Source organism: Homo sapiens, chromosome 16 (assembly GCF_000001405.40).
Source record: "Homo sapiens chromosome 16, GRCh38.p14 Primary Assembly".
Classification (NCBI taxonomy): domain Eukaryota; kingdom Metazoa; phylum Chordata; class Mammalia; order Primates; family Hominidae; genus Homo; species Homo sapiens.
In genome coordinates, this window is record NC_000016.10 from 14,277,028 (window position 1) to 14,301,770 (window position 24,743).

The 24,743-nt window shown below is 48.9% G+C and overlaps 1 long non-coding RNA gene and 1 other non-coding gene across 2 annotated transcripts in view, besides 6 other annotated features; both read left to right on the plus strand.

Moving 5' to 3' along the window:
* Nucleotides 4,759–5,260: an enhancer, noted in NCBI's record as "H3K4me1 hESC enhancer chr16:14375643-14376144 (GRCh37/hg19 assembly coordinates)". NCBI's record gives its function as "activates a minimal SCP1, AML or CMV promoter by ChIP-STARR-seq in naive H9 embryonic stem cells {active_cell/tissue: H9 hESC(naive)}" and the evidence as "EXISTENCE:reporter gene assay evidence [ECO:0000049][PMID:30033119]".
* Nucleotides 6,805–7,453: an enhancer, noted in NCBI's record as "OCT4-NANOG hESC enhancer chr16:14377689-14378337 (GRCh37/hg19 assembly coordinates)". NCBI's record gives its function as "activates a minimal SCP1, AML or CMV promoter by ChIP-STARR-seq in primed H9 embryonic stem cells {active_cell/tissue: H9 hESC(primed)}" and the evidence as "EXISTENCE:reporter gene assay evidence [ECO:0000049][PMID:30033119]".
* Nucleotides 8,135–9,132: an enhancer, noted in NCBI's record as "H3K27ac-H3K4me1 hESC enhancer chr16:14379019-14380016 (GRCh37/hg19 assembly coordinates)". NCBI's record gives its function as "activates a minimal SCP1, AML or CMV promoter by ChIP-STARR-seq in naive H9 embryonic stem cells {active_cell/tissue: H9 hESC(naive)}" and the evidence as "EXISTENCE:reporter gene assay evidence [ECO:0000049][PMID:30033119]".
* Nucleotides 8,583–8,992: a silencer, noted in NCBI's record as "silent region_7228". NCBI's record gives its function as "represses an Ori minimal core promoter by ATAC-STARR-seq in GM12878 lymphoblastoid cells {active_cell/tissue: GM12878}" and the evidence as "EXISTENCE:reporter gene assay evidence [ECO:0000049][PMID:35858748]".
* TRT-CGT2-1 (tRNA-Thr (anticodon CGT) 2-1) lies at nucleotides 8,866–8,937 on the plus strand. The gene has a single exon. It is a non-coding gene; the product is annotated as a tRNA-Thr (tRNA).
* Nucleotides 9,163–9,282: an enhancer, noted in NCBI's record as "active region_10491". NCBI's record gives its function as "activates an Ori minimal core promoter by ATAC-STARR-seq in GM12878 lymphoblastoid cells {active_cell/tissue: GM12878}" and the evidence as "EXISTENCE:reporter gene assay evidence [ECO:0000049][PMID:35858748]".
* Nucleotides 12,745–13,039: a silencer, noted in NCBI's record as "tiled region #5476; HepG2 Repressive non-DNase unmatched - State 12:CtcfO, and K562 Repressive DNase matched - State 12:CtcfO". NCBI's record gives its function as "represses a minimal TATA promoter and a strong SV40 promoter by Sharpr-MPRA in HepG2 and K562 cells {active_cell/tissue: HepG2 | K562}" and the evidence as "EXISTENCE:reporter gene assay evidence [ECO:0000049][PMID:27701403]".
* Nucleotides 24,354–24,743, plus strand: part of MIR193BHG (MIR193b-365a host gene) — a 29,682-nt gene continuing 29,292 nt past the window's right edge. The window contains exon 1 of the long non-coding RNA NR_170633.1: nucleotides 24,354–24,504. This is a non-coding gene — a long non-coding RNA (MIR193b-365a host gene). The remainder of the gene's footprint in view (nucleotides 24,505–24,743) is intronic.

The window sequence follows — 24,743 nt, forward strand, 5'->3', positions numbered from 1 at the left end:
GACAGAAAGCAGAATGGCAGTTGTTAGGGGTGGGAGGGAAGGATGACAAAAGGACATGAAGAAACAATGCAAACAACTCAATTTGAAGAAAAAAAAAAAAAAGAGAGACCACCTAGATTTCTATAGGTTCTTCTACCTGGATGGAAATAGTACCTTGTATTTGAGAAAGGATGAGGTCTGGCTACAGTATTTGTACTTTGTCTAAGTATTTTCCCTTGAGGTTGGTTTTTTTTTTTTTTTTTCCATTTTTTTGAGACAGGGTCTCTCTCTGTCACCCAGTCTGGAGTGCGGTGGCACCATCATGGCTCACTGCAGCCTCGGCCTCCCGGGCTCAAGTGATCCTCCCACCTCAGCCTCCCGAGTAGCTGGGACTACAGGCGCATGCCACCACACCCAGCTAATTTGTGTATTTTTGTAAAGACAAGTTTTCACCACGTTGCCTAGGCTGGTCTCAAACTCCTGGGCTCAAGCGATCCTCCTGCCTTGGCCTCCCAAAGTGCTGGGATTACAGGTGTGAGACACTGTGCCCCACCTATTTTTAAAGATAGCAGAGGATTAAATGATACTAATATACCATAACAAATGGGAAATACGCAGAGGTAAACACCAGAGAAAACCCATTTAGACTTCCAGGGCAATAAACTAGCATCCAACAAACAGCTACAAAGACAGAAAGTGTCGCAAGAATGACAGCATTTTAAGTACCATGAAAAAGAACAATGAGATGTTTCCGAAAAAATGTTATTCACGTTTCCATCAAGAAATTCTAATGTGTCCATAATGGAAAAAGGAAGAACATAAAGGTCACATTTCATGTTTGACACTTTTACACCTGAGTGTTACGTGAACATTTACAGTTTTACAGCACTAAAGCAAAGCTGCAAGAGAAAAACACAAAAGGTATGTTTGGCTCAGTAAGTAAATTCATCACACTTTGCTCTCATTTCCTTCCACCCATTTATCTTTTCAAGTTGCCAAGAACAGCACTGGGAATAATCACCTCCCACACCAAAAGCTGAGGAGATGATAATTGGTGTCTGATGACAGGAGATGACATTTTTAAATAGTCACTTTAAACTTCATAACATAGATCCCATCCTTAACCACATATATACTGCTTGAGTGTGTATCTGGAAGGTGGCCCAAGAGTAAGCATAAGTTCACAAAAACACTGTACTGGTTTAAAAAATTGCACCAGGCCAGGCACAGTGGCTCACACCTATAATCCCAGCACTCTGGGAAGCTGAGGTGGGCAAACCACTTGAGGTCAGGAGTGGGAGACCAGCCTGGCCAACATGGTAAAACCCTGTCTCTACTAAAAATACAAAAATTAGCTGGGCCTGGTGGTGCGCGCCTGTAATCCCCAGCTACTCTGGAGGCTGAGGCAGGAGAATTGCTTGAACCTGGGAAATGGAGATTGCAGTGAGCCAAGCTTGCACCACTGCACTCCAGCCTGGGTGACACAGTGAGACTTCGTCTCTAAAAAAAAAATGCAATCCAGAAGATTGTGTCATTTATGCACCAGGGATCTTAAAATACAAGGTCTAGGAAAAGGTCACTATCAAAATCGCTTCCTGGATAATGTGAGTAAAGGTCTGAGTTTTTGAAATGTATAATATGAATAAACATAAAGAGAAATAAATGATTATTTCCTATTTTGAAAAATGCGTACCATCTATCATTCATCATGTGAGATTCTCCTACTACTTTATAGAAAGTAGCAACATATGTGAAGGAACTAATTTTGGACATTTACATATTATATCTTACAAGCTCATAACACTAAAAAGAACCAAAGGAATTTGGTTTGATACCAGTACACTCCAACCCATAACACACATCTCAAGCAGCTGGGTAAACGTTGGCCACGTTGTTACACAAAGGGTGAGGCTGATTATTTCTACCTCCTCTCAACTAACTCCACACAAAGCTAAAAATGAGAGAGACTTGAGCAAAAGCAAACATCACTCCTGGAGTCCAGTGGGACCAATGGCCAGCTCACTCACCAGTAAGCAGATATTTTTAGTAGATAAGGCTGGTAAAATACAACACAGAGAGGTCATCTTAGGAAAGTAATGGACCTTATATCCATGGCCAAGAGCTCTACATGTGTGCATGAGGGACAAGTGCAACAATGCAAGAGAAGCTGTAATGAAGAAAAATCGGAAACAACCTAGGTGGCCAGCAATAGGGGAATAATAATTATTATTATTTTTATTTGAGATGGAGGTTTACTCTTGTCACCCAGGCTGGAGTGCAGTGGCGTGATCCTGGCTCACCACAACCTCCACCTCCCAGGTGTAGGCGATTCTCCTGCCTCAGCCTCCTAAACAGCTGGGATTACAGGCACGTGCCACCACACCCAGCTAATTTTGTATTTTGAGTAGAGAGACAGGGTTTCACCGTGTTGGACAGGCTGGTCTCAAACTCCTGACCTCAGGTGATCAGCCCACCTCAGCCTCCTAAAGTGCTGGGACTACAGGAGTGAGCTACAGCAACCAGCGGGGAATTATAAAAACTGTGGTGCAGTCACCTAGTAGATTAGAATGGGGCAAATAAGGAATGAGCTAGAGCCACAGGGAATATGGCTAAATAAAGCTCCAGTGGTCTGTAGAATCCAAAATATGTACATTAAAAAATGCATATGGCCGGGCACCGTGGCTCACTCCTGTAATCCAAGCAGGAGGGTAGATCACCTAAGGTCAGGAGTTTGAGACCAGCCTGCCCAACATGGCGAAACCCCGCCTCTACTAAAAACATAAAAATTAGCCAGGCATGGTGGCGCATGCCCGTAATCCCAGCTATTCAGGAGGCTGAGGCAGGGAGAATCACTTGAACCCAGGAGACGGAGGTTGCAGTGAGCCGAGATCTCACCACTGCACTCCAGCCTGGGCGACAGAGCAAGACTCTGTCTCAAAAAAAAAAAAAAAAGTGTATAATATGATACCATTTGTGGGGAGAAAAATCCTCCCCAAAAGTCTTTATTTCCTATGGATAAATAGATATCAACATGAAAGCAAAGGAAAAGATATGTAATGATTCCAAATAAACTCCTAACAGTGGTCAACCTTGAAAAAGAGGAGGACGAAGGAGGGAAGAAGGGAACTTAGAGCTGGGAGGGTGGGGGCCCTCTGTTCCATGCAGGCAGAATGATAAGAGAAATAGCAATTTTGTTCTTTCACTGTCTACTGCTTCTTATATAGATCGACCCATTGTCTACTCTGCATGCTAATGTTGTAGCTCAGATAATCTGGTTGACCTTTTTAGAGCTTATCTAGGGGGAAAAAAAGGAAAGGGAAAAAAGAACAAAACTTTTTATTATTCATAGCTGCCAACTTGATCTTGTTCTGGCTCTGGAACGAACCAATTTAAACAGATACTTTCCAAGGTTAGAGAGGTTCAAAGATTGATTTGATGAGGTGATACCAGGGCATCCTGTACAACTGTAATTTCTGTGCAGGAAAAAAATCTACTTTTCATCCCTATAACATTTTGTGTGTGGTTGCCATTATTTGTTAAGGGTGTTGAAATAATCATCATCACCTCTCTTTTCAAGCCAGAAGATTTTTGGTTACACAGACCACCCATCTTGCTGCATTCTGCCAGGGCTGACACAGTTCCCACATGTGGCAGGGATTTTCACTTGGACAGACTGTTAAAAGGAGGTGAATACAGTTACCATAATCATTCCAACTACTCCTCCACTGAAAAAAAAAATCACAGGAAACTCACATAATTAAATTCCAAAGAAATGAATTCAAAATTAAAGACTCACAGGCATCAGCATCAAACAATGGGGAAATGAAATATTCATGGATAGGAAGATTCCATACTGTTAAGTCATCCATTCCCCCAAATTCATCTGTAGATTCAACGCGTTCCCAATCAAAATCCCAGAAGGCATTTTATAGAAACTGATGAGCCGATTCCAGGAATTATATGGAAATGCAAAGGATCTATTATAGGCAAAACAATTTTGTAAAAGAAAAACAAAGTGGAAGGATTTACAATACTTGATTTTGTACCCACTATAAATATACAATAATCAAGACTGGTGGTAATTGCCATAAAGATGGACATATGGATCAACAGAACAGAATAAAAAGACCAAAAATAGACCACACACAGTTCATTGAATTTTAACCAAGGTACCCAGGCAATTCAATGGGGAGAGGGTAATCATTTCAACAAATGGTGCTGAGGCCCAGCATGGTGGCTCACACCTGTAATCCTAGCACTTTGGGAGACCAAGGCAGGAGGATCACTGGAGCCCAGGAGTTCAAGACCAGCCCAGGCAACATAGCAAGACCCCCCCCCCAACCCCCGACATCTACAAAAGAATTTTAAAATTAGGGCCAGGCGACGTGGCTCAGGCCTGTAATCCCAGCACTTTGGGAGGCTGAGGTGGGCGGATCACTTGAGGTCAGGAGTTCAAGACCAGCGTGGTCAACATGGTGAAACAGCATCTCTATTAGAAATACAAAAATTAGCTGGGCCCACGTGGTGGCACATGCCTGTAATCCCAGCTACCCGGGAGGCTGAGGCAGGAGAATCCTTGAACCTGGGAGGCAGAGTTTGCAAGTGAGCCAAGATCATACCACTGCACTCCAGCCTGTGTGACAGAACAAGACTGCGTCTCGAAAAATAAATAAAAATTAAAAATTAGCCCGGTAGGCATGGTGGCATGTGCCTATAGTCCCAACTACTCTGAAGGCTGAGGCAGGAGGACCAGTTGAGCCAAGGGCTGAATCAGGAGAATCACTTGAGCCCAGGAGTTAGAGGCTGCAGTGAGCTATGATCATGCCATTGCACTCCAGCGTGAGTGACAGAGCAAGACCTTGTCTCTTTAAAAAACAAAAAGAACCCTGCCCATCCCTCACAACACAGGGCCCCTGCCTCAAGGAGCTGGGATACTGTGAGTAGCTAAGTGTGCTTTCTTTAGGTAAAATCTTTATTTAGGGTGTTAGTAAAAAGCCCGCTGTCATGACCTCAGATGACCTAAATATCCAAGCCTGAGGGTTTTTTCTCTTCCACAAGCAAACGAATTTCTCCAGGAATACTTTAAAGCAGTGCTTCCCAAAGTGAGGCCCTGGACCAGCTGCAGCAGCATTAACTGGGAACTTAGAAAGGCAGCTCCGCGGACCCAGCCCAGACTAACTGAATCAGCCTGCATTTTCATGAAATCTGCAGGTGCCACCCAGCCACCACCAAGGCTTACTGAGATAACGCAGGTGCCAGCCCCTCACAGGCCAGGAAGAGCCTCTGTTGCCCACCCTCACTCTGTGGAAGGCAGCAGGCACCAGGCACACAAGGTGAGCCAGGATGGAGGAGCTGGGGGAAGCCCAGGTCCTCCCTGGAGCCAGAAAGTGTCTTGGAGACATTGCCATTGAATTGTTCAGAAACAATTTTTCAGACACCCACAGCTGTAGCTAAACCACTTTAGATAGATATTGTATCTCGGTAGGGCTTAGGTTAATCAGGCACCATCAGGAAGGGAGAGAGGAAGTAAAAAGGCATTCAGCCTTCTAAGACCCTCAGGAGGTCTTTTTGAAAATCTAATAACGGCTGGGCGCGGTGGCTTATGCCTGTAATCCCAGCACATTGGGAGGCTGAGTCAGGTGGATCACGAGGTCAGGAGCTCAAGACTGGCCTAACATGGTGTAACCCCGTCTCTACTAAAAATACAAAAATTAGCCAGGCGTGGTGGCACGCACCTGTAATCTCAGCTACTCAGGAGACTGAGGCAGGAGAATCACTTGAACCCAGGAGGCGGAGGTTGCAGCGAGCTGAGATTGCACCACTGCACTCCAGCCTGGGTGACAGAGCGAGACTGTCTCAAAACAAAAACAAAAACCCCAATAAATTGTGACATCCCTCTTCCAGGAAAACTATATACGCACTTTATATATACTTTTGGGGAAGTCACACGTTTCCTGGGCTTGAGTGCATGGGCTCAGGTTAAGAAATTTTTGAGACAGTCTCACTCCATCTCTGCTCACTGCAACCTCCGCTTCCTGGGTTCAAGTGATTCTCCTGCCTCAGCCTCCGGAGAAGCTAGGACTATAGGCATGTGCCACCACACCCAGCTAACTTTTTGTATTTTAGTAGAGACGTGGTTTCACCATGTTGCCCAGGCTGGTCTTGAACTCCTGAGCTCAGTCTACCCAACTGGGCCTCCCAAAGTTCTAGGATTACAGGCATGAGCCACCTCCGGCCTAAGAATTTCTACTTTACAGACAGGCACAGGGAAATAGAGGTGCCAGAAAAAGCCAAAAAAGATTAAAGACATATATATGTATATATTTTGTTTGTTTCTGAAATAGAAAAGAGTGCCTAAGTTTCAACACAAAGGAAAAGTGGATGCTTATAAATTATTCAGATCTAGGCAACTTAATTATACAGAAGAAACAAAAAGATCAAAAGTATTCCATCATGGCACTTGGCTTTGTCACCAGATCAATTCTGACATTTTCTCACTTAAAACACCGCCTTTCTAGTCCCTTGAAACCACCCTCTGCTTCAGCCAACCCTGGTTTCTCACCCTAGCATTTGGGAGGCCTGGGATTGGGTCACAGTTGTGTGACAACAGAACCTCACCTGGACCACAGACCCTGTCAGGGCACAGGGAATGTTTGCTTAAAGTTTCTCAGTAAGAGTGAACAATGGCCAATTCCTTATGACCGAGAAATGGAAGGTTTTGGCTTGATCACCAAAAGCCTTACTGAAAGTTCAGCACTGGGACATTTGTTGGTACAGTGGTTGGAGAGTCCCCAGAACCACGTGGAAGGGAATCTTACATGTTGGTACCTTCGACAATACTTGTTGAGCACATACCTCGTGCAGACGCCGGGGCCAGGACAGACACATCCACCCTCCAGGTATCTGTGATCTGGGGCTCCTCAGGTCTCCTTTTCACCTGCCAGATAAGTGGACTTATCAGCCCAACACCTGCCACCTGTATGCTCTATTTTAGGCCTCACATAGGGTCAGAGGGCCCCCTGGCCCTGAGGATACAAAGGGCATCCCACGTGCCCATCAAGGTGCATACGCCCCTTTTCATGTGCCTGGGACACCTGAGGCTTTCAACTGCCTCCCTTCCCTCAGAAGACAAAGATTTTTAAAGTACCCATTAAAATCCAATTTCCATTCCACCTGCCCGTTAGTTTTGGACTCAATCCCCACGTGATTTTCCTTCATTTGCTAATTTCTTTTCATAAGCCTCTGCCACTTCTGCACAGTAAGTCTTCAACAACCCAATAAACACCTCCCCTCCCCCCCAAAAAAAGGATGGGGACAGTGGAGCCAGTATTATCATCTGCCATTCAGAAGCAATGCTTGGTAATGCACGTTTTCTGAACATGTTCTCCAAGTCTGTCTTTCTTTTAATTGGGGAGCTACCAGGTCACCTGCACTTAGAGCGCCACAGCACTCCAGGTGCAAGGCCTCAGGGTTCCAGTCCTAATGCCTGGAGGGAAAATTACGCATTTCCCACTCACCTGCCCAAACTTTGACATTTAAAGCATCTCTCTGGTATTTTTCAGCTTCCTATTTGCCTATACACCTGCATGGCAGGCTGTGGACGTTCTTAGTATAGGCCCCTATATACCCTACCGCATCACTGGTACCAGCAGGCAGAGACACACATAACAGAATGTTCTGTGAGCAACACAAATCCTCCAGTCAACCTAATGCCCAGCTCCCAGCAACAGATTAAATCAATTGTAGCACAGCCACTCAATGGAAAACCATGTAGTTACTAGAGACTAAGGTAACCCACCCATGCATAATAATCCCATTAATTATAGTATATACTTTAGTATATATGATTTGCTATATGGTGTTAATATTACACAACACATTCATGAATAATAGAAATTGTTATATTTCTCAAACAATGCTATTAATTTTGATTAAACTGTATTACCTACCAAGAGCCATTGAATTAACACATCATACATTAATTCATGAAAACTCAAAGTGCAGAGAACAGTAAATCAGTCCGTTTGTGTGGAAATCAAAGGGCATGTTTGAATCTATAAATATGAGCGTGCACATTAAACTGTCAGGTGCCTTGGGGCTGACTTAGCCGACAAGTCAGCAGGTCTGGGCGGGAGAGAAGTTGCATTTCTCACAAAATCCCAGGTGCTGCTGCTGGTCTTGGGACCAGGGACACATCCAGGCTAAACAGGTAAACTGGGGGAAGAAGAAACTTTCGGCTTTGTTTGTTTGTTTTTATTTTTTTCTTTTCTTTGAGACAAGGTCTCCCTCTGTCGCTCAGGCTGGTGTGCAGCGGCGCGATCTCGGCTCACTGCAGCCCCGATCTCCTGGGCTCAAGCGATCCTTCAGCCCGGGCCAAAGCGCGGAGCTTCCAGAAGCTTTTATTTTCTAAATCTCACGCCTCCATTCAGCAACCCTGGCTGGGCGTGGGCTCCCTGCAAGGCGGCGGTGGACGGCCCGCAGTCGGGCCGATAAGGAAACCTGCTACCATTCCTTGGCTTCCTGGGTGCCTCACTCTAGAGGGGGAAACTGAGACTCCGAGTCGAGCCGTCCCGAAGCGCTACATCGCTGGCGGGGCTGGGATTCGAACCCGACTTCTGAGATACAGGCCGGTGCCCCGCCCGCGGGACCTGCGGGACCCTCGGGACACCGCTCCAGCCGCGCCCCGACTCCAGAGGTTCTCCAGCCCACTGCAGACGACAGAATCGCCCGCGGGTCCCCGAGCCCCCGAGCCCGCCGGGGCGCGCCCGTTGAAGCCCCGCCCCGCCGGCCGCAGCAGGGAGGGGGACGGTGCGAGCTCGTGCTCGCTGGGCGGGCGCACGGGAGCGGCGCCAGGATAGAGGTTCGCGAGACCGCCATCGCAACGCAGGCGCGGTGGCCAAGTGGTAAGGCGTCGGTCTCGTAAACCGAAGATCACGGGTTCGAACCCCGTCCGTGCCTGATATCCAACCTTCAGCTATAGGGTGGAGACTTTTTAGGAGTGGTCGACTCTTGCCGTACTCTGCGAGTAGATCCTTCCCCCTGGACTGCAGACCCAGCCAACTGTTTTCCTTCAAGGGTTTGGGTTCAAGCTCCCATCCTTCCCTCGCAGAAGGTGGAAGTCTGGGTGGTCCAGCCTCGGCGAGTAAGGTCCGCAAATTTGGCCGGCCCCGGCGATCGGCTCCCTACACACAGCTACCCCTGGGGCGCTTCATCCCCTGGGAGAAGATGGAGGGCTCTGGGGGTGGGGCGGGGCTCGCAAACTCAAAGGGTCCCCTGCAGATCATGGCCTCAGGGAAGCCCCAACACCCTTGGGGCAAGGAGACCTGCAGCTGCTGGAGTTTGGCTTAAGGGCCCATCCACATTCTTCTGCACAGGAAAATCCAATTTTATCCGCTCTAACAAAAGCCCTGCCGTTGCCTGATACAGAGCCCACACCCAGAGTCAGCTGGTGTCTGTCTGGCTTGCTATTTTTGAAAGGAAATCCACTGTAGGCATTGCATTCGAAAGAGAAGCAGCCCTGTCCAGGCTTGGAGCAATTCTGACACGCAAATCTGAAACCTCCGGCTCTGAGCCTCCGCTTGCCCCTCTGTAAAATGGGCGCTTGTGAAGCAGCTGCCAGGAGAGGCTGCTGTGGAGGCGGCCTACGTAGACGGAGCTCCAGTCAGATCGCACAGGTTTTCTTTGCATCACGAAGGATGCACCAAAGGGCTGCTGGAATGCCTTTGAAGACGTCATGCAATGACCCCAACCTCCAGGACCGCCACATCGTGCACTCTGAAAACCAGCTTGAGCGAATTTGGGGAAGGCTGTATCAGTCTGAGATTCCTAACTGGAGGAGGCATTCGTGGAGCGCCTCGTGTGTGCCTGGTGGAACTGGATTCTGGGCGTCCCTCGGTGAACTGGCCAGGCCAGAACGGGCTCTCGGGAGGTGACAGGGAGAGAGGGAGGGAGCAGGAGCTCCCGGGGGTAAGTGTCCCCCTTCTACAGCAGGGGTTCCACACTTGTGAGCGTGGATCAGCCTCCCCTAGAGGGCTTGAGAAACGCAGATTGCTGGGCCCCAGCCCAGGGCTTCCGCATTCAGCAGCTCAAGGCTGGGCCCAGGTCATTTGCATTTCTAACGAGCTCCCAGGAGAAGCTGATGTTGGACCGCACCTCGAGGACCACTGTTCAAACGAAAGCCATATTCTTTTTTTCCTTTTTCTTTTCTTTCTTTCCTTTTTTTTTTTTTTTTTTTTTTTTTTTTTTTTTTTTTGAGACGAGTTTGGCTCAGTTACCCAGGCTGGAGTGCAGTGGCATGATCTTGGCTCACTCGGAGATCTCCGCCTCCCGGGTTCAAGCAATCCTCCTGCCTCAGCCTTCCGAGTAGCTGGGATTACAGGCGTGCGCCACCACACCCGGCTAATTTTTGTATTTTTAGTAGAGACAGGGCTTCACCATGTTGGCCAGGCTGGTCTCAAACTCCTGACCTCAAGTGATCCACCCACCTGGGCTTCACAAAGTGCTGGGTTTACAGGCGTGAGCCCCCATACTCGGCCACGACAGCCATATTCTAAACCCAGGAAGGAGCCTGTGCATAGGCATGTATATAAATAGGTAAGTTAATGATATAAAAATAGAAAATACCAGTGCTTCTTACACTTCCACTTGGGGAAATCTTGCTAAGAAGCAGGTTGTGACTCAGTAGGTCTGGAGTGGGGCCTGAGACGCTGCATTTCTAAGAAGTGTCTTGGGGTGATGCTGGTGCTGCTGGTCTCCAGGAGCGGTACACAAGGGGTGGAAGGGTACACGCCAAAATAGCATCATCCCCTGGGAGGGAAGTAGACTAGGAAAGCTGTTGAAAGGGCTCCTTCACTTCTTACCAGGTAAACGTGTGCTCTACATTGCTTGGGTTTTCTTCAAGATGATTTCTTTGTACTACATATGCAATTTTTTTCCAGAATCACCCTGTCCCTCAAAACCCCTACCCAAACACAAAAACCTTTTGGGACACAGGCAAATTAGAACAATTCAGAATTAAAGCAAATAAATGTTGAATGTTCTCTTGTCTCCACTGGAGCATCTATTCATTTCTTTTTATTTTACTTTCTTTTTTGGAGACAGGGTCTCGCTCTATTGCCCAGGCTGGAGTGCAATGGTGCTGTCATAGCTCACTGCAGCCTCGAACTCCTGGGCTCAAGCAATCATCCCAACTCAGCCTTTCAAGTAGCCAGGACTACAGGCGCTAGCACCACACCTGGCTTTTTTTTTGGGGGGGTGGGCGGTGGGATCGACATTGGTGTCTCCTTATGTTGCTCAGGCTGGTCTCAAACTCCTGGGCTCAAATGATCCTCCCACCTCAGCCTCCTGCCTCAGCCTCCCAAAGTGCTGGGATTACAGGCATGAGCCACTGTGCCTGGCCCATTCGTTTCTTTTTGAATAGGTGCCATAAAAGATCACGTATGGGCCAGGTAAGGTGGCTCACGCCTGTAATCCCAGCACTTTGGGAGGCTAAGGTAGGTGGATCACCTGAGGTCAGGAGTTCAAGACCAGCCTGGCCAACATGGTGAAACCCCGTCTCTACCAAAAATAGAAAAATTAGCCGGGCATGGTAGTGGGTGCTTGTACTCCCGGCTACTCGGGAGGCTGAGGCAGGAGAATCGCTTGAACCCAGGAGGCAGAAGTTGCAGTGAGCCAAGATTGCACCATTGCACTCCAGCCTGGGTGACAGGAGTGAAACTCCATCTCAAAAAACAAAACAAAACAAAAAAACACGGCTCTTGGGCAGGTAGGCCAATATCTTTGAAGAGCATGGAATTGTCCACCCAGATTTCCTGTCCTTGTCTTTCTGTCCCCATCCACAGAGTAGACCAGCACTCCTTCTCTGTGACATCACCCAGGGAGACAGCCCATTCTCATCCATCTCCACCATAGCCTGTCTGTATCAGGTGGAGAATGTATTAGAAAAACACAATTTACAATACTGTAGATACCATTTATGCAAAAAAGTGTGCACAAAATGACTAAGGATATATATATATATTTGTGTATGAAGAAGTGCTTGCTGTTTTGTTTTGTTTTTTATTTTCAAGCCTGAAAGATGACACATAGGTCTCAAAACTGTAACTTCTGCTTGAAATCTGGGGTGCCAGAGCTGCAAAAGCACTTTGGCACGTGCTGCAGTATCGGAAACTAGTGAGCTAAATCCTTGAAGCAGGTTCTGTTTAGACTGAAACGGGCGAAGCTGATCATGTTTCTGAATAAGCAAGACGTGTTGTGTTCATTTAAACCACTTGTGTTCATGAATCTATAAAGCCATGTTTGGATTTCTATAACTTCTGTATGAATTTCATGTGTGAAAGTCACCTTGAAGTCAACTCTTTGTTCTTGCAGATTCAATCCCTCGTCTCTGTTGGAAGTGTAAAAGGAAGATAAGAAGGGCTCTGATGCTGGGGTTGGGGAGGAAAGAGAGGCAGGTAAGACAGAGCCTAGAGAGACGTTTAGGGATCCCAGCACGCAAAATGACCATGCAGGAGGGAAGAGGTAGATTTGCATAAGGAGCCCGTGGCTTTCTGGGAAAGAAGGAATTAAACTCTTCCAACCCACCTTCCTGTTATTCACAGTTAATTAGTGGCAGAATAGGGTTTAACAGAACTTTTCATTTATTTATTTTGTAGAGATTCAGTCTTGCTCTGTTGCCCAGACTGGAGTGCAGTAGCACAATCATAGCTCACTGGAGCCTCAAACTCCTGGGTTCAAACGATCCTCCTGCCTCAGCTTTCCAAGTAGCTGTGCCTACAGGTGTGTACCACCACGCCCAACCTAACAGGACTTCTGAAGCAACAGAAGGGAAGCCAGGTTCCTGTGAGGATCCTAGCTTTAGCAAGGAGGGGCAGTTTGTCAACAGAGGCTGTGCAGGAGCAAGTTCAACAGTGACACCTTGTGGAGGCATGAAGCAAGAGCAGTGCTAGACTCTGCTCTGCCCCTACATCTCTTGGGAACTGGTGGGAGCCTCAGACTAGCCACTTTAACGGCTCCGTGCCTCAGTTTCTCCCGTTGTAAATTCGGAATGACACACATTCACTCGCTTCCTCTGTCATGGAGTTCTTCTGATGACAACATTTTAAACATCCGCCAGCCAGGACGGTTCAGTAAATGCTGACCCATCCATGTCATGATATGGTAGGAAGCCATTTAAAGGAATGATTGATGGATTGATCTGACATGATAATGAATATAGTTAAGTGAGAAAAGTTGATAGTCTGGTTTTTCTGGTTTTTTGTTTTGTTTTGTTTTAAAGGTGTCTGGAGGTATAATTGATAAACCAGAAAACTGCACTTATTTAATGTGTATAATTTGATGCATTTGGACATATGCATGCACCTGCTGATAGTCTCACCACAATCAAGAATCAAGTATTACCTTGTAATCCCAGCACTTAGGGAGGCCGAGGCAGGCTGATCACTTGAGGCAAGGAGTTCAAGACTAGCCTGGCTGAAATGGTGAAACCCCATCTCTACTAAAAATACAAAAATTACCCAGGTATGGTGGCATGCGCCCAAAGTCCCAGCTACTCAGGAGGCTGAGGCATAAGAATCACTTGAACCCAGGAGGTGGAGGTTGCAGTGAGCTGAGACGACACCACTGCATTCCAACCTGAGAAACAGAGCAAGACTCTGTCTCGAAAAAAAAAAAGGTAATAAACATATCTGTCACCTCCAAAACTTTCCATGTGTCCTTTTGTGTATGGTGTAAGAATATTTAACATGGGATCTACCCTCTTAACAAACGTTTATGTGTATGTATCCTACCGTTAGCTATATACAGCAGATCTCAAACTTCCTCATCTTGTATAATTAATTTTTAGTATCTCGTTTTTGCAAAGATAAATACACATTTATCATTACGTATATGTGTATATGTGTGTTGGTTTTGGTTTCTTGGAATGTAGAGAAAGTCCATACCCCTGCGAAGGCTTCGCCACACCTCATGCTGTTGATAATATCTCCAGGTGGGGTGAGAGATGGAGAGGAAATTGCAGAGAAAATTCCAAGTTTTTTCCTGATATCATGGCCTTGGCAAAGAGAGGCTCTATGGCTTTTGGATTCACTATTTTTGCAGCAAAACGTACAAAGTTAACAGAAAAAAGAGAAAATATAAAGAGTAATCGGATCTCTGGGCTCTGGGGAGCAGAAGCGTTAACACGGAGTGGCCACTTACACGGAGACGATGCTAAGTTCCCAGTGCAAAAGCCCTGTCCTGTCATCACGCTGACCCTCTCCAAGGGGAGGCCTCCAGTCCCCCCTGCCCTGTCAGGTTTCCCATATGGGCTGACATCATGTGCTTAGGAAACCTACATTCAAGAATTAAAAATGGAACTCTTAATAAGGGAGCGGGTGGTTTGTAGACGTGCATGGGCTGAGAACCACATTTCAAAACCAGAAGTGTATTTCAGGCGTGAGTAGCACTTAAAAGAAAATATTGTGGCAGGCCCCTGGAAGCAGCAGACGTTGTTTATATCACATCAACTTGAGTTTTGCTGAGCAAATCACCAGGCTGGCGCACAACGAACGTTTCCCACCATTCCGGGGTTTTTTTTTTTGCTTCCACTCTGCCCTTCTAATTCAGGTGAGCAAGCTGATTTTTACTTGCTGTAGGTAAAAAAGAACCCCCAAACTTAGGCCTTGCTAAATGCAAAACCTGTAGCAATTCTCAAAACACGCAAATAACAAGCCCTTCATCTTCCTTTGAGAAGTATGGTAAATAGACTCTAGGATGCCCCCCAAAGTTATCCCTGTCTTCTAAGAATCATGCCTGTCCCCTATTCCTTGGACAGTGATATGAGCAAGAAATAAACATGTATTGTGCTAAGCCACTGAAAGACTGGGGTTGTCTGTAACAGCAGCTAGCATACCCCAACAACAGATATACCACTATTTGGCCCCTGTGGGAACACAGGCTCTCTGCTGCCAAATCTTTTGGATCATCCATTTTTTTTAGAAGCGGCCAGAAATCTGGATTTTTAAAATATGAAATTTCCTGATTTAAAAATGTTGGCCACTAAGTCAAATTTATTATTTTAAATGCTCCACAGGCCAAATGAAACACATCTGTGGGCTCAACTTGGCCTGCAGCCTGCCAAGTGCAACCTCTGGTCAAAACACTTCAAATGCAGCAGCATTTATTTTTAAGTTGGTATTGGTCTGAGAGTTGGTGCCGCAACCCTAGTCATGTGAGTTCCAGAGAAAAGTTCTATGCCGATAGGGAAGTTGATCAATTCTTTCATTTCCACTTGGGTTAGAATTACGTTAGTGTTTTTTGTTTTGTTTTTTTAGACAGAGTCTCCCTCTGTCACCCAGGCTGCCGTGCAGTGGTATGATCATAGCTCACTGCAGCCTCAAACTCCTAGGCTCAAGCAATCCTCCTGCCTCTGCCTTTCAAGTAGCTGGGACCACAGGCACATGCCACCGGGCCCAGCTACTTTAAAAAAAATTTTTTTTAGTAGAGACTAGGTCTTACTATGTTGCCCAGGCTGGTCTTGAAATCTTGCGCTCAAGTGATCCTCCTGCCTTGGCCTCCCAAAGTGCTGGGATTACGGGCATGAACTACCGTGCCTGGCCTTCCTCTAGTTTCTTAACACACTTTGGCCCGTCTGCCAAAACTCTGAGGCTAACTTTTCCTCCCTGGGTGACCAGGTCCAGCGAGACCAGGCTGGCCCAGGATGGCCCACTCACCCAGACCAGTGCCTCCTCCACTTTGATTTCAGTGGACTGAGTGGCAAGGATGAAGCTGAAACCAGGCACAACCAACTATGTCTTAAAGGAGAGAAGAGAGCACTCCTGGCATTTCTAAATCTACTCATAGCATATGCAGGCACAACCGTTTATCACCACATTTAATAGCAAATGATAATTGCTGCAATTTATTGAGTGCTTAGTACACGCCAGACCGTACATGCAGCGATGGGTACCATGCAACTTAACCCTTTCACATCCCCATCATTGCTACCAAAGGATCTGAAACTCAAAAGGGCTAACAATTGATCCCAAGTCACGGCGGCATTTCTGGTACCTCTTTTCATGGTGAAGCCAGGTTCTGAACCAGCCTCTGGAGTGACTGTGGCATCACTGCCTTAGCCGGCGAGGATCTTTTTCCCAGCCCACCAGGAACCATGGACCCTTTTGTAGATCTGGGGCAGTTTGTCTTTCTGTCCACCCAGGGCCTGGAGCTCTTGGCCTCCTGGGAGCCCTGCCATCATCACAGGGGGAAGGTACTGCAATCCCAACCCCATTCCCTCCCTCCCTTCTTTGTGTGTGTGTGTGTGTGTGTGTGTGTGAGACAGAGTCTTGCCCTCTTACCCAGGCTGGAGTGCGGTGGCACGATCTCGGCTCACTGCAACCTCCACCTCCTGGATTCAAGCGATTCTCCTGCCACAGCCTCCCAAGTAGCTGGGATTACAGGTACCCACCACCATACATGGCTAATTTTTTAGTATTTTTTAGTAGAGACACGGTTTCACCATGTCGCCAGGCTGGTTTCCAACTCCTGACCTCAAGTGATCCACCCACCTCAACCTCCCAAAGTGTTAGGGTTGCAGGCGTGAGCCACTGCACCAGGCTTCTTCTTTTATTCATTTTTTTTTTTTTGAGATGGAGGCTGGAGTACAGTGGCATGATCTCAGCTCACTGCAGCCTCTGCCTCCCAGGTTCAAGCAATTCTCCTGCCTCAGCCTCCCAAAGAGCTGGGATTACAGGTGTGTGCTACCACGCCCAGCTAATTTTTATGTTTTTAGTAGAAATGGGGTTTCACCACGTTGGCCAGGCTGATCTCATACTCCTGACCTCAGATGATCTGCCCGCCTTGGCCTCCCAAAGTGCTGGGATTACAGGCATGAGCCACTGCGCCTGGCCTGTCATTCATTTCCTAACACATCTTCATTGTGCCCCACCATGTGCTAGACCTGGCATGGTGCCAGGGCTGCTGGTCACAAGAGATGGGTTGCCTGCCCCAGGGGATTCACAGACAAATGAGAGGGGACTAATGAATGTGATATGAGAAGAAAAGGACAGACACAGGCCGGGAGCAGTGGCTGGAGCCTGTAATCCCAGCACTTCAGGAGGCCAAGGCAGGAGGATCACTTGAGCCCAGGAATTCAAGACCAGCCTGGGCAACAGAGTGAGACCTATCTCTACCAAAAATGAAAAAATCAGCTGGTGGTGGCACGTGTCTGGAGTCCCAGCTGCTAGGGAGACTGAGGTGGGAGGATCACCTGAGCCTGGGAAGTCAAAACTGCAGTGAGGTGAGATCGCATAACCACACTCCAGCCTGGGGGATGGGAGTGAGACCCTGTCTCAAAAAAGGAAAAGAAAAAAGAAAAGGACAGACGCACATGGGCACGAGCAGAGATAGCACTCACCTAACCAAAGCTCCTGGTGGGGCTTGGAAGGCGTGGAGGACGTGCTCGGGGGGTGGGGCCAGGGGGCTAGCAGAAGATGCTCCAGCATAGACCCCAGCATCAAAGACATAGAGGCATCTGTTCAAAAGTGGGGGTACCCGGGCCAAGCGCGGTGGCTCATGCCTGTAATCCCAGCACTTTGGGAGGCCAAGGCGGGTGTATTACCTGAGGTCAGGAGTTCAAGACCAGCCTGGCCAAGATGGTGAAACCCTGTATCTACTAAAAATACGAAAATTAGCCAGGCATGGTGGCACAAACCTGTCATCTCAGCTACTTGGGAGGCTGAGGCAGGAGAATTGCTTGAGCCCAGGAGACGGAGTTTGCAGTGAGCCGAGATTGTGCCACTGCACTCCAGCCTGGCCAACACAGCGACACTCTGTCTCAAACAAAACAAAACAAAACAAAACAAAAAAACATGGGGGTACCCAAAGGGGGACCTTGTGCAAGTCACTTCCTGTCTTTGTCTTCTCTGCTTTTGGAAGCTATTAAGATGCCCCAGGGAGCTGTCAATACCACCCATGGGGCTGAGGATGAGGGGGCTGGCAGCTCGCACTCAGCTTCCCAGCATCCTTCTAGCAGTTTCTGGACTGAGAAGCCTGGGCAAGTGACTGCACTGCTGTGGCCTCAGTTTCCTCATCTGTCAAATAGGAATAAATGACAGTTCCTGCTTTGTAGAGTTGCTTTGATGGGGAAGTGGTCTCAGGTGTAGAAAATGCCAAGCACAGAGTCAGGACATGATAAAAGCTTGGCACTATCATAGGCTCTGCCCCGAAGGCCAACACAGAGCAGAAGCATCTACAGCTCTGACTTTCCCTGTGTTTTTCATTCCACAAAGAAAAGTAAAGCTGAGGTCCACAGGACCTGGAATTTTATTTTATTCTATTATTATTATTATTATCTTTCTTATTTTAAGGAACTAGTGACTCTGTATATCTGATTTTTTTTTTTTTGAGATAGGGTCTCACTCTGTTGCCCAGGCTGGAGTGCAGCGGCGCTATCACAGCTCGCTGCAGGCTCAACCTCCAGGGCTCAAGTGATCCTCCTGCCTCAGTCTCCCGAGTAGCTGGGACTACAGGCATGTGCCACCAAACCCGGCTAGTTGTTTTATTTTTATTTTTGTAGAGACAGGGTCTCACTGCGTTGCCTAGGCTGGTCTTGAATTCCTGGGCTCAAGCAATCCACCTGCTTCGAGCCTCCCAAAGTGCTGGGATTACAGGTGTGAGCTACTGTACCCGGCCTGGAATTTTTTTTTTTTTTTTTTTTTTTTTTAGACTGAGTCTCTCTCTATTGCCCAGGCTGGAGTGCAGTGGTGCCATCTTGGCTCACTGCAACCTCTGCCTCCCAGGTCAAGCGATTCTCATGCCTCAGCCTCCCAAGTAGCTGGGATTACAGGCGCCCGTCAACACTTCCAGCTAATTTTTGTATTTTTAGTAGAGACAGGGTTTCACCATGTTGTCCAGGCTGGTCTCAAACTTCTGACCTCAAGTGACAAGTGATCCACCTGTCTCGGCCTCCCAAAGTCCTGGGATTACAGGCGTGAGCCACTGTGCCTGTGGCCTGGAATTTTTTTTTTTTTTTTTTTGAGACAGAGTCTTACTCTATCACCCAGGCTGGAGTGCAGTGGTGCGAACTCGGCTCACTGCAACCTCCGCCTCCCGGGTTCAAGCGATTCTCCTGTCTCAGCCTCCTGAGTAGCTGGGATTACAGGCACCATGCCCAGCTAATTTTTGTATTTTTAGTAGAGACGGGGTTTCACCATATTGGTCAGGCTGGTCTCAAACTCCCAACCTCATGATCCGCCCACCTCGGCCTCCCAAAGTGCTGGGATTACAGGCATGAGCCACCGTGTCTGGCCTCTGGAATATCTGTATAAGGCCCTGGATAGCTTTAAGGACGGGTAGGCAGCTCTTGTCATCTGACATCTCAGCTCCGAGGGCCTGCGCCACAGAAGGTTGGTTTTACTTCACCGCCCTTGACCCAAATTTCTGCTGTTAATTGCAGAGGGGCAAATACCATCAAGGCAGGCGGGCAAGGGCACAATGGAAGGCCTTCCAGCCGCCCCCTGTCAAGGGTCCGAGGCTGAGGTGGGTGAAGACACTTCTGGTTTCTAGGTAGTTTTACATCTATCTTGTAAGAGCCACTTGACCTGAAATCTTGTATTCAAAACGATTTTTAGACTAGATTCCTTTTTTTAGAGACAAGATATTGCTCTGTCACCCAGGCTGGAGTGCAGTGGCGTGATCATAGCTCACTGCAATCTCAAACTCCTGGGTTCAAGTGATCCTCCAGCCTCAGCCTCACAAGTAGCTCGGACTACAGGTGCCCACCTGCACACCGGGCTTGCTTGCTTTCCTCTTTTCTTTCCTTTCCTTTTCTTTCTTTCTCTCTCTCTCCTTCCTTCCTTCCCTCCTACCTTCCCTCCTTCCTTCCTTCCTTCCCTCCTACCTTCCCTCCTTCCTTCCCTCCTTCCTTCCCTCCTTCCTTCCCTTCCTTCCCTCCTTCCCTCCTACCTTCCCTCCTTCCTTTCCTTCCTTTCTTTTTCCTTCCTTCTTTCTTTTCCTTTTTTCTTTTCCTTCCTTCCCTCCTACCTTCCCTCCTTCCTTCCTTTCCTTCCTTTCTTTCTCTCTTTCTTTCCTTCCTTCTTTCTTTTTCTTTTTTCTTTTCCTACCTTCCCTCCCTCCCTCCCTCCCCTCCTCTCTCTCTCTTTCTTTCTCTCTTTCAACATAGGGGTCTCACCATGTTTCCCAGGCTGATCTTGAGCTCTTGGCCTCAAGTGGTCCTCCTTCCACCAATGCCTGAAGTTCCACCATCATGGGCGTGAGCCACTGCATCAGGCCTAGATTCGTTTCTTAACGTTCTCTCCAGAAGGTATCATAGGGTGGGCACAGCCTCCTTCTGATGGGGTTGAATGAGAAAGTCAGCCATCACACCACTTCAAACGGTGTCCCAAACTGGGCGCAGCGGCTCACGCCTGTAATCCCAGCACTTTGAGAGGCCGAGGCGGGCAGATCACTTGAGGTCAGGAGTTTAAGACCAACCTCACCAACATGGCGAAACCCCGTCTCTACTAAAAATACCAAAAAAAATTAGCCGGGCGTGGTGGCGCACGCCTCTAATCCCAGCTACTTGGGAGGCTGAGGCAGGAGAATTGCTTGAACCCAGGAGGCAGAGGTTGCAGTGAGCTGAGTTCGTGCCACTGCACTCCAGCCTGGGCAACAAGAGCGAAACTCAAAAATAAATAAATAAATAAATAAATAAATAAATAAATAAATAAATAACCACCAAAAAAACAAACTGTTCCAAGGATCCCTCTGGAAGCACCTATATTCCGCCATTGTCCCATGGCTAGCATCACCGTATGGCTATGGACTTGTGTGTCTGTTTTTAACAAGCCTACATTTGTTCAATCCAAGCATTTAAAACCTATTGTACAGGCCGGGTGCGGTGGCTCACGCCTGTAATCCCAGCACTTTGGGAGGCCGAGGCGGGTGGATCACAAGGTCAGGAGATTGAGACCATCCTGGCTAATACAGTGAAACCCCGTCTCCTGTAATCCCAGCATTTTGGGAGGCCGAGGCAGGCGGATAACGAGGTCAGGAGATCGAGACCATCCTGTAATACAGTGAAACCCCGTCTCCACTAAAAAATACAAAAAAATTAGCCGGGCGTGGTGGCAGGCGCCTGTAGTCCCAGCTACTTTGGAGGCTGAGGCAGGAGAATGGCGTGAACCCAGGAGGCGGAGCTTGTAGTGAGCCGAGATTGTGCCACTGCACTCCAGCCTGGGCGACAGTGAGACTCCGTCTCAAAATAATAAATAAATAAGTAAATAAAATAAAAATAAAACCAATTGTACAATACATTCTGTATGTTTGCTTGGGAAGTTTCTCATTGTGGGTATTTTGGGAGGCTCAGGAGGTGGCAGTAACTGGGCGCTGGTACCCTCCTGTCCTCCTTCCCCAGGCCCCAAGGAAAGCGCCCACAGGCGGGCAGGGCAAAGCCTGCGCCCACCCTCTCTGTGCGGGCCTGGGAGCCCAGAGTCCAAGACTTTCCCAGAGGCTGAGCACGGCTGCGGCCCTCCAGGGCTCCTTCTGCCTGGCGTGGCCGCTCCCTAGTTCTGGCTGGGGCCTTGGCATCGCCCTGGGGCTAGAAACCTGGATGCAGGTGGGGCTCCTTCCTGGGAGAAGGCCAGGGTGGGCCTCTGGGGCTTCCGGACCAAGAGCGGGCTGTTTTCCGGAGTCTGGCGGCGCTTCCACTGCTGAACTGGATTTCAGGCCGCCACTCGCTTGAGTCACGGGGAAGCCAAGCCAGGCCTGGCAAGGGCAGGCCTCAGAAGGATCCAGGGGGCACCTCTGAAGGGGATTTCAATTGCAAGATAAAGGTCGGGCCCTGGCTGCCTTTGGTGGCCTGGTTTTTCCTTCTGCACCTGATCCAGGTGTCCCAGAGCCCAGGCAGGGCCTGAACTGGAGAGATGAGGTGAGCTTCCAAAATCTTGTGGCTCAGGGCACAGATGTGGGTGGGGGCAGCACCTGGAGGCCCCCAAGGCAGCACTGCTGCAGCTATTTTAGTTCCCCAGAGGGGCCGGGCCTTTGCACATGCGGTGCCTGCTGCCCCGACTCGATCCCTCCCACCAGCCCTGTGTATTCTTTTTTTGAGACAGAGTCTCGCTCTGTTGCCTGGGCCGGAGTGCAATGGTGCGATCTCGGCTCACTGCAACCTCTTACCTTCTGGGTTCAAGCGATTCTCCCACCTCAGTTTCTGGCGTAGCTGGGATTACAGGCACGCGCCACCACGCCTGGCTAATTTTTGTATTTTTAGTAGAGACGGGGTTTCACCATGTTGGCCAGGCTGGTCTCCAACTCCTGACCTCAGGTGATCCTTGGCCTCCCAAAGTGCTGGGATCACAGGCGTGAGCCACTGTGCCCGGCCCCAGTGTTTTCCTTTTTCACAGTTTCAGCTCAGACATCCCATCCTCCAGGTGACAGCACCAAGCTCACCAATCACTGTTGCCATGTACTCCTACAGGTTGTCTGTCTCAGGCAATCCCGCTAAAAGTCCTATAAGGCAGGCCTTGTGACTCCTACTTTACCAAGGAGGAAACAGAGGCCCAGAGAGGCGAAGCAGTGCCCGGGGTCCCCCGAGCTGGCGACACGCAGCAGGGGGAGACACAGCCGCTCTCTTTCAATGCAGCTTGCAAGAAGAGCCGGTGAGGATACTGCAGGCTGGATGGAGACAACCCCTGCAGGAAGGGCCAGGGTAGGACACCCCCAGCCCAGCCTCGCTCTGTCGCGGTGCCCTGGACCATAACGGCAGCGAAGTGCTCACCTGTTGACTCAAGTCTTTCCCTGAGACGTCTAGTTCCTCAAGGGCAGGGACCTGTGCTGTTTACCACCTTAGCTCTGGGGGCTCTAGCAGCAGCTCTGTGCCTGGCACACAGAGGGCCAGCAGGTGTTAGTTCCATGAACAACTGACCTCTAAGCTTCAGTCTTTTGTTTTATTTTTTATTTTTATTTTTGAGACAGAGTCTCACTTTGTCGCCCAGGCTGGAGTGCAGTGGCACAATCTTGGCTCACTGCAGCCTTCGCCTCCCGGGATCAAGCCACTCTCCTGCCTCAGCTTCCCAAGTAGCTGGGACCACAGGTGCTCACCACCACACCCCATTAACTTTTTTGTATTTTTAGTAGAGACGGGGTTTCACCACGTTGTCCAGGCTGGTCTCAAACTTCTGACCTCAAATGATCCACCCGCCTCAGCCTCCCACAGTGCTGGGATTACAGGCATGAGCCACGGTGCCTGGCCTAGCCTCAGTCTTTCGATCTGGAAAATGGGTAAGTTCAGTAAGTTACTATTCTTCATGTGCTTAGGTCTCGGGGTGGGGGGGAATGGGGACTGTTATTATCAGTGATCAGCTGTTGCCTTTTGTGCTACATTTCCTCTCCAAGTTGCTATTGGAAAAACCATCCCAAGGTCCCCCGTGCCCCACCGACCCCGGGTCCAGAGTGAACACAGCCTTCCTTGCCTCCCCTAGAGCAAGGAAGAAATCCCTCCAGATTTCTGGAATTAAGGCCCAATGAGGAAAAGGGGACATGAGCAAGTCCTGTGCGTCGGCTGCAAGATAAGAAAGATGACCCATAATCCCAGCACTTTGGGAGGCCGAGGCGGGTGGATCACCTGAGGTCGGGGGTTTGAGACCAGCCTGGCCAACATGGTGAAACCCCATCTCTACTAAAAATACACAAATTAGCTGGGCATGGTGGCGCATGCCTGTAATCCCAGTTACTCTGGAGGCTGAGGCAGGAGAATCGCCTACACCTGGGAGATAGAGGTTGCAGTGAGCCGAGATCGCGCCACTGCCCTCCAGTCTGGGCAAGAGGAGTGAAACTCTGTCTCAAACAAAAAAAAAAAAAAGAAAAAGAAAGAAAGAGGATGGAGAGGGCAGGGACACCACAGGCAGAAGGAGAGGAGGCCAGCTCGCTCCCCTTGGCTGGGGTCCCTGGGACCTCCTCTGTGGCATCAGGACTGCCCGCTAAGTTGGGTGGTGTGTTTTATGAGCGTGACCTGTGTTGGCCAACAGAGGACAGCAAAATACATTTTTTATGATCCTGGGAGGTTCAGGCCAGTCACGTTTTCGCGCAGAGAGGCTGGGCGGTGGAGAGGGACAAGTCATGTCTCAGTTATGTGGATTCTCTTTGCGAAAGAGGGGCCACTTCTGCAATGGATTTGGGGGTCCCTGGGCAGGGGTGTGGGGGTGGGGGAAGATTTTAGGAAGGGGATGAGCTGCTGGGGGGGGGCATCTCCCTTACTGCGGGAAATGAAAAGTATTACAGCTATGGCTGGTGAGAGTGTCAGCACCAGAGGCCAGATCTTTGCCAGGTGGAGGGGACACCCTTGTGCCCTACCCCCAAGTTCCAGCACCTCTCCAAGAGCCCTTAGCCCCGGAAGCAGCAACAAAGTGACATTGGACTGGGGAGGAGGAAGCACAACTTTATTTTCTGGCCCGAAGCTGGGTTGGTATTTGGGGGAGTTCTTGGGAACACAGTGTGTCTGTGCAATTTCAACCCTGGGGGATCCAGGGGACTCCAGCCATTCCAGAGGAGGTGAGAGACCGTCATGGGGTGGGTGTAAGAGGCTTGGGGAACCTGCCTGATGCTGCTCCTACTTTTACTGTTTGTTCACGGGGGTTGTGTGTGTTTGTGCGGCGGGGGAAGCGGGGGGTGCTGAAAATTGGGGGAAGGGCCAAAAGCGCCAGCTGGCATTGGCACTGGGTGTTCCCGAAAGAGGGGGACAGACCGGGTCTGAATCTTCAGTGGATGCGCCCCTAGCTCCCGGATACCTC